Source organism: Homo sapiens, chromosome 11 (genome assembly GCF_000001405.40).
Source record: "Homo sapiens chromosome 11, GRCh38.p14 Primary Assembly".
In the NCBI taxonomy this organism is placed as follows: Eukaryota; Metazoa; Chordata; class Mammalia; order Primates; family Hominidae; genus Homo; species Homo sapiens.
In genome coordinates this window covers 56541068-56550217 of record NC_000011.10, presented here as the reverse complement: position 1 = coordinate 56550217, position 9150 = coordinate 56541068, and the positions used below count along the sequence as shown (strand labels likewise).

At 39.2% G+C, this 9150-nt stretch overlaps 1 protein-coding gene across 1 annotated transcript; it reads left to right on the top strand.

Annotated features, from left to right (window-relative positions):
* The first annotated feature begins 6960 nt into the window (after positions 1-6960).
* Positions 6961-7878, top strand: OR5M11 (olfactory receptor family 5 subfamily M member 11). The gene has a single exon (NM_001005245.1). It carries the CDS (start codon positions 6961-6963, stop codon positions 7876-7878), a length of 918 nt encoding a protein of 305 aa, NP_001005245.1.
* The last annotated feature ends 1272 nt before the right edge of the window (positions 7879-9150 follow it).

The window sequence follows — 9150 nt, the reverse complement described above, 5'->3', positions numbered from 1 at the left end:
AAAAATCAATTCAAGATGGAATAAAGACTTAAACGTTAGACCTAAAACCATAAAAACTCTAGAAGAAAACCTAGGCTTTACCTTTCAGGACATAGGCATGGGCAAGGACTTTATGTCTAAAACACCAAAAGCAATGGCAACAAAAGCCAAAATTGGCAAATGGGATCTAGTTAAACTAAAGAGCTTCTGCACAGCAAAAGAAACTACCATCAGAGTGAACAGGCAACCTACAAAATGGGAGAAAATTTTCACAACCTACTCATCTGACAAAGGGCTAATATCCAGAATCTACAATGAACTTAAACAAATGTACAAGAAAATCAAACAACCCCATCAAAAAGTGGGCGAAGGACATGAACAGACACTTCTCAAAAGAAGACATTTATGCAGCCAAAAAACACATGAAAAAATGCTCACCATCACTGGCCATCAGAGAAATGCAAATCAAAAGCACAATGAGATACCATCTCACACCAGTTAGAATGGCAATCATTAAAAAGTCAGGAAACAACAGGTGCTGGAGAGGATGTGGAGAAATAGGAACACTTTTACACTGTTGGTGGGACTGTAAACTAGTTCAACCATTGTGGAAGTCAGTGTGGTGATTCCTCAGGGATCTAGAACTAGAAATACCATTTGACCCAGCCATCCCATTACTGGGTATATACCCAAAGGACTATAAATCATGCTGCTATAAAGACACATGCACAAGTATGTTTATTGTGGCATTATTCACAATAGCAAAGACTTGGAACCAACCCAAATGTCCAACAATGTTAGACTGGATTAAGAAAATGTGGCACATATACACCATGGAATACTATGCAGCCATAAAAATGATGAGTTCATGTCCTTTGTAGGGACATGGATGAAATTGGAATTCATCATTCTCAGTAAACTATCGCAAGAACAAAAAACCAAACACTGCGTATCCTCACTCATAGGTGGGAATTGAACAATGAGAACACTGGACACAGGAAGGGGAACATCACACTCTGGGGACTGTTGTGGGGTGGGGGGAGGGGGGAGGGATAGCATTGGGAGATAAACCTAATGCTAGATGACGAGTTAGTGGGTGCAGCACACCAGCATGGCACATGTATACATATGTTACAAACCTGCATGTTGTGCACATGTACCCTAAAACTTAAAGTATAATAATAATAAAGAAATGGGTCTTCTCTACCCAAGAACACACACACACAAAAAAAAAAAAAAAAAAAAACAACAAGAAAGACAAACAGTATGCTCATCACACACAAATGCAAGGTCATTTTTAGGCATTAGATGGGGCTTAATTTAATCTAAGTTTTTCATGTACTTTGTATCTTCTAACCTGCATACCTCTATTTCCTCTTCTAGCCCTCTACCTCTGGTAACCACTGTTTTATTTTTATCACTGTATATTTAATTTTTTAAATATTCCCCATATAAGTGAGATCATTCAGTATTTGTCTTTCTGTGTCTGGTTTATTTCACTTAGAATAATGTCCTCCAGGCTTGTACGTGTTGTATCAAATAACACGATCTTCCTTTTCAGGGATGAATAATATTCTATTGTAAATATATACCACCATTTCTTTATCTATTTGTCCTTCATGAGGCACTTGGGTTGTTTCCATACCTTAGCTGTGATGAATAATACTGCAAAAACATGGAAGTACAGATGCTTTAAGAGGTGGTGAATTCACAGGATAAACAAGTCTAGAGATCTAATGAACAACATGAGGACTAGGGGTAATAAAATTATACCGTATTTGGGATTCGTGCTAAATGAATATATCTTAGCTGATCTTGCACACAGACACACAAAAAGGGTAACTATATGTTAATGTTTGTGTTAATTTGCTTTACTATAGTAAGATTTTACTCTATGTATCACATGACATTATGTTGTGAACCTTAAATAGATGCATTAAAATTTATTTTTTAAAAGGGTTCATTAACTGCGGTTCAGGCAATCTATAAACCTTTTACATTTTGGAGGTGAGATTTTCAGTATCTGCATTTATCTTGGATTTTCAAGGGGTTCATTTGAACAAGCAAACAAACGAAGAAACAAGCTTAAGAATCTTTCTTACAATGAATTCTTCCTAAGTAGTTTTCTTGACTGGTTTCTTTTCTTTTTCTGAAACAGTCTTTTCTTATTCACTTGTGATTGAATAGCCTACAAAATTGATCTAGACAATTAGGCTCTTGAAATTGATTACGGCCTAGTGCATTCTCACCTGGAATAAAAGCCTTCCTTTGGAGCATCTTCTATTTTTTAATTGTTGAGAGTTGGGGACTTTCCTTCTCATTCTGTATTTTCAGTGTCAGTTTTTATGGCTTGTGTGTTCCAGGTATGGTTGGGTCATGGTCATGCAGTCTATTCACAAGGCCTTGTGCTTAGAAGAACATCCCAAGCTTGGTTTAATGCTTTGATCTCATGGTCCTGAAATTTTACATAATTTTTTTGTACAAGGATTCTTGCAGTTTTATTTCGTATTGAAATAGGAGAGTTTCCTTATCCTCCTCGCATGGCAAGTGACAGGAGTGTGGCTTGCTTCTTTGGTGCCCCACTGCTCAAATCCCTAGGGGTGGAATGCAGACAGGCAGGTGTACAGGTCGTGGGAGTGTTTTTGGGCTCCAACCCCACAGCAGCATCTAGGGTTAAGTGTTTACAGCTCCTGAAGCCCCAATGGGTGTGTGTTACAGTGTGATCTTTCAGCTTTGCTGTCTTCAGGCGGCTTGCATTAATCAGCTCAGTTAGACCCTCTGCATTACCACAAGGGCAGCAGGCTTTCTGTATTCCAAGTTCTTGCCCAGTGTATCGGAAAAATTGGATCACATGTGGACATGGAGGATGAGTGCAAGGTTTTATTGAGTGGTGGAGGTGGCTCTCAATGAGATGGATGGGGAGCCAGAAAGGGGACGGAGTGGGAAATTGGTCTTCCCCTGGAGTCGGGCAGCTCATTTGCCGATGATGCTCTGACCACCCCCAGACGAACTCCCCTCGGTGTCTGCATCGTTCCACCATCACTGGTCTGCTGGCATCTGCTGGTGTCTGCTGTTGTGCTCCTCTGCTCCTGTCAACATCCAGCCACTTGTGTCCATGCCCACTAAGGCCTCGGGTTTTTTTGGGCACAGGATGGGGCCTGTGGTGGGCCAGAGTGGTCTTGGAAAATGCAACATTTGGGTGCAAAAACAGGAGAGCCTGTTCTCACTTAGGTCCTTGGGCAAAGTTCTGTGGGTGGAGCCCTCACCAGGGACCCCACCCTTCTCTACACATCACTTCCCAACCCTGCTCCTGTATCAATATTGGATTCTGTATACTATGTATCTGAGGTCCCAGTTCTAGGTTTTACAACTTGTAACTTTTTCCTATCCTTGACCTACTCCTCTGCTCGTTCTTCCTCTATCATGCAGAACCTTCCCAACATACTGACCTAGCAAGCCCAGGTGTTCCTTATTCAAGAGGTGTTCACCTTTTATTCTGTCCTGACACAGGGGTTAGACCTACTGTGGTTTTCCTTCTTTGTACACACATCTTAGCTGTAGTCTTTTTACCTCTCTCCACTTATGAGCCCTTCTTCTCTACTGCAATTGTGTATTTCTGGATCCCATAAAAGCCAATGAGCCTCTCAGTCAAAACTGTTTCAGATCTCACAGGCAGTTATTAAGCCACATGCAACAAATAAGTTATTCTGCAAATGAACTCCTCTAGTCCAATTTCCTACTGTGTCTTTTTAAATCTGAAATTCCCACATCCTGATATATTTTCTCTCATTTTTCTTTGTTGTAACCACTGAAACTGTACTCTGGTGAAGGCCATTGATACTCTTGATAGGAACTTGAAATGAGTAACACTTAACGTGAGAAAGATTTGAAGTGAATAAGAGTAAAGTGAAATATCTGTAGTTTAGGGAGCTTAGCTGGATTTTCTGCACTTTGCATTAAGTGTGTGTGTGTGTGTGTTTGTGTGTGCACATACACACACAAATTTCACTCAGTGATAGTTTCCAAAGAACCATTACATCTGGTATCCTTGTATTTGCTCGTTATCCTTCTGTAGACCCAGGAAATCTGAGACAGGTCTCAGTTAGTTTAGAAAGTTTATTTTGCCAAGGTTGAGGACACACCTGTGACACAGCTTCCAGAGGTCCTGAGGACATGTGTTGAAGGTGGTCATGGTACAGCTTGCTTTTATACATTTTAGAGAGACATAATCTATCAATCAATACATGTAAGATTTACCTTGGTTTGGTGCAGGACAACTCAAAGTCCAGGTTGGGGCAGCGTGGCGTGGCGTTTCCAGGCTGTAGGTAAATTTAAATATTTTCTGGTTGACAATTGGTTTGTCTAAAGACCTGAGATCAATAGAAAAGTCTGTGTTATGTTAATGCTGGAGAGGAATAATGAGGCATGTCCGACCCCCATTTCCCTTAACCGCCTGAACTAGTCTTTCAAGTTAAATTTTACAAGCCCTGGCTGAGGAGGAAGTCCCTTTATTTATTTTTGGTTTACACTTCTTATGATATCCTTCTTAGAAGTTTTCTTGCTACAGTTGTTGCCATAAACTTTACTTTTTTTTTTTTTTTGGTAGAACCTTACTCTGTCGCCAGGCTGGAGTACAGTGGCTGATCTCCGCTCACTGCAACCTCTCCATCCTGGGCTTGAGCAATTCTTCTGCCTCAGCCTCCGAAGTAGCTGAGATTACAGGCACGTGCCACCACACCTGACTGATTTTTGTATTTTTAGTAGAGATGGGGTTTCTCCGTGTTGGCCAGGCTGGTCTTGAACTCCTGACCTCAGGTGACCCACCCGCCTCAGCCTCCCAAAGTGCTCGAACTACAGGCATGAGCCATCCTGCCTGGCCAAACATTACTTTTTTAATGAGGTCTTCCTTGACTTTCCTTTCCCCAAAACTGTATTTCCTTTATTTTTCTCCACAACAGTTATTTGAATATTATTTATTTACTTGAAATAATAGCTCTCTCTGTCCACTAGAATGGGAAAACCAAAAAAAGCAGAAATTTTTGAAAGGTTTGTTCGCTTCTGCATCTATAGTGCCCAATCACACAAAATATTGAGTATCAGTAAATACTTGTTTCATGAATATCTATTTTGATGCCCAAAATGACATGAGAAGAGGAAAGATAAATATTATTATTTCCATTTACACATGGGAAAACACAGTGATTCATTCAGTTGCAAAGCTTTTAAATTACTGAAGTAACTCTGTAATCCAGGGCTCCTAACCAGCTCCTAACATCAAGATATGTCATAGCTTCTACTTGATATTTCTTAGATATATCACATACAGGTACTCAAGGGCACAAGTCAGTCACATAGTAGAACATGACTAAGTGTAAGGAGAATGTGTCTGGCACAATCCTGTTTATCATGGTGCACTATGTAAGAATGCCATGACTATCTGTGTCCCCAGAAGTTCCTTATCATCATATATCTCAAGGCCTTCCAGGTCTATACATACAATTTTATGAAACAGTTTAGCTTTAGAAAGGTGATATGTATTGCAGCAGCAGCTAATAAAGGAAGTTTTTAAAATACATAATTTTCAGTTCTTACCTCAGATTCTCAGATTGTATGCACTAGTAGTGTGACCTCGGTTCAATTATTTAACCTTTTTGTACGTTGCTTTTCTCAATAGTAACAGCAAGACAGAGTTTTGATTATAGGCATTCTAAAACTTACAGTAAAATAAATGAGGTGACTCATTTTGAGATGAGACAAGAATTGAGAAGCCTGTAATAAAAATTTCAAGTATGAAAGAATGGGCAAAAATTAAAAACTTCTCGAAAGAAAGGAAAATGTGAATTAGCAAAGATTCTGATGTGAAGAGAGGTAAAAAGCCAAAAGGATTTGTAATACCTCTTGTTAGATACAAGTTGTGATTAAAAGATTAAATACCAACTCTGAAAATATTAATTTATTTTCTTTCTAAACACATTAAGTCATTGCTCTAAACATCCTCAAGATACTATATGAAAATTTATTTTATTTCACAGTTCTTTGTTCATTTATTTGGCATATGTTTATTGAGCCATTCTGACTGTGCATTTTGAGCTATGATCTTGGAACACTTGCATTAGAATCCTACAGATAATCATTAGAGATGAAGATTCCAGTACCCCACATAAGAATTTCTGCAAAAACCTGTGATATGGGCTAATAAACAAGCTTCCCAAGAATTGCTTCTACACTAAGTTTCAATAATCACTTAATTCTCCTGAGAACATGACATCACGCAAGGCTACATGGAGATAAATCTGTGAGTAAAAATTGCAAGTCATTCATTCTTACATGCTCTCCTTTTTGCATTTTAAGAAAATTTAGTATAAAAATATGTGTTGAGAAGTATAATTAAAAAATGAACTTCACTTTGTCCCTGCTCTCAACACCATTATGTGATGAGAAAGTATATACTTTATAATGATACAATGGGGGCTAAATAATAAATTAGAGAAATATAGAATACTCTGGAAATAAAGAAGAGAGAATTCAGTGACACGTATTAGGAGAAATGGATGAGAAATGCTTCACAAAGAAGTGGCCTTTAAAGTGGGTCATGTAGCATGAATAGAATTAGGTTTTAAAAAGTACAGGAAGATAGAAGAGATGTAGCTCAGTCATATAGATAGATAGATAGATAGATAGATAGATAGATGATGGATAGATAGATACAGGTGTAGGTATAGATATATCTATAGGTGTAGAGAAAGAATATATTAGTAATGTAATGCCTAGGCAAATGATATAATGACATTGTAGACTTACAAAATTATAGTAAGTCTACCATAATTACCAAAACCAGTTTATGGTAGTACCCAGAAATAGATAACTTTCGATGATATATGAAGATGTGGAGAAAAACTAATTCAAATGAACATTAACATGGTATGTGCATTTGTTTATATTGGCTTTATTTCCATAGCTTGAAGAGCAAACTGTCAGGAAATGTCCAACACAAATGGCAGTGCAATCACAGAATTCATTTTACTTGGGCTCACAGATTGCCCGGAACTCCAGTCTCTGCTTTTTGTGCTGTTTCTGGTTGTTTACCTCGTCACCCTGCTAGGCAACCTGGGCATGATAATGTTAATGAGACTGGACTCTCGCCTTCACACGCCCATGTACTTCTTCCTCACTAACTTAGCCTTTGTGGATTTGTGCTATACATCAAATGCAACCCCGCAGATGTCGACTAATATCGTATCTGAGAAGACCATTTCCTTTGCTGGTTGCTTTACACAGTGCTACATTTTCATTGCCCTTCTACTCACTGAGTTTTACATGCTGGCAGCAATGGCCTATGACCGCTATGTGGCCATATATGACCCTCTGCGCTACAGTGTGAAAACGTCCAGGAGAGTTTGCATCTGCTTGGCCACATTTCCCTATGTCTATGGCTTCTCAGATGGACTCTTCCAGGCCATCCTGACCTTCCGCCTGACCTTCTGTAGATCCAGTGTCATCAACCACTTCTACTGTGCTGACCCGCCGCTCATTAAGCTTTCTTGTTCTGATACTTATGTCAAAGAGCATGCCATGTTCATATCTGCTGGCTTCAACCTCTCCAGCTCCCTCACCATCGTCTTGGTGTCCTATGCCTTCATTCTTGCTGCCATCCTCCGGATCAAATCAGCAGAGGGAAGGCACAAGGCATTCTCCACCTGTGGTTCCCATATGATGGCTGTCACCCTGTTTTATGGGACTCTCTTTTGCATGTATATAAGACCACCAACAGATAAGACTGTTGAGGAATCTAAAATAATAGCTGTCTTTTACACCTTTGTGAGTCCGGTACTTAATCCATTGATCTACAGTCTGAGGAATAAAGATGTGAAGCAGGCCTTGAAGAATGTCCTGAGATGAAATATTGTCATGACCATGGTGATGCCTTTGTTTCCTAATAAACATTAAATCGAAATCTTTGGCTCACATGTCCTAGCGTTCTGATGGTGAGTTTTAATATTCTCTGTGAGTCTATGTTGAGTGTCTCAGCTAAAAAGCTCATGCTGGGTAAAAATGAGATTTTTCTAGGCTTTGCTCCTCCACATATATTCCATGAATCAGCAGCATGAGCTCTTCCTTGGAGGTTGTTACACGTACAGAATCAAAGTCTGCACCTCAGGTGCACTGTATTTAAATATGTGTTTTATCCAAACTCCTAGATGATTGATAAGCACACTGAATTTTGAGGAGCACTGCTGTGGGTGAAACGTGGCATGCCCTGGAACACTGTTGTGCTCTTTTTGTTTACAATGGCAAACAAAATAAATGTGCTCCCAGCCCAATTTCTTGAATGTATTCTATTCTTATTCTCGCCTGCTGCTTCAGCAGAGATGTCTTTAAGAAACCCATTCTTCTGCACTCCAAGAAATCCATTCTTCTGTACTCCTTTCCTGACTTGCTGTGGTAGACCAGAAACTAGGGGCCATGGTGATGGCTTCTGGTTTTTATAAGTGCTCTTACATAGTGAAGAGTGGCAATGGAAAAAGAGGGGAAGAGAATGATTGTACTTTTCTTAAACTTGAGTTTATGGATCCAGCTCTCTGAGTTACATAAACCCACCTTCCCATTCTGAGCCTCCAGTGTATGGAGGTCACTTTCTGTTTCGCCTGATTTTGAAAAATTTAAGCAGGCTGATCTGAGAATAAGGACTAAAATTAAAATGGGAAATGAAAGAACCGAGTAAACAATAGGTCATACGATAGAGTATCCACCTTGCTTTGAATATTCCTTCTATTTGTAATTAAGTTTAGGTAAGTAATGTTAATTTTTTGTTTTCCTTAGCACTGGCCTGTTTATATGTGTCCAAGGAAGTAAGGATTTCTTCCACAGGAAGAGAAGACATTGCTCTGGCATCTTCAAGAAACTTTAGAAAGTAGAAAGAATTCCTCTTTAGACATTATGCTAAAATGAATTATTTAAGGAACAAGTAAAAAATATATTTTTTTAAGATAGAGTTTCACTCTGTTGCCCAGGTTGGAGAACAGTGGCATGATCATATTAATAACTTCCTCCAACTCCTAGGCTCAAGTGACCCTCCCGCCTGAGCCTCCCTAGTAGCTGGGACCACAGGTGTGTGCTACCACACTCGGCTAATTTTTAAATTTTTTTGTAGATCTGATATCTGTCTATATT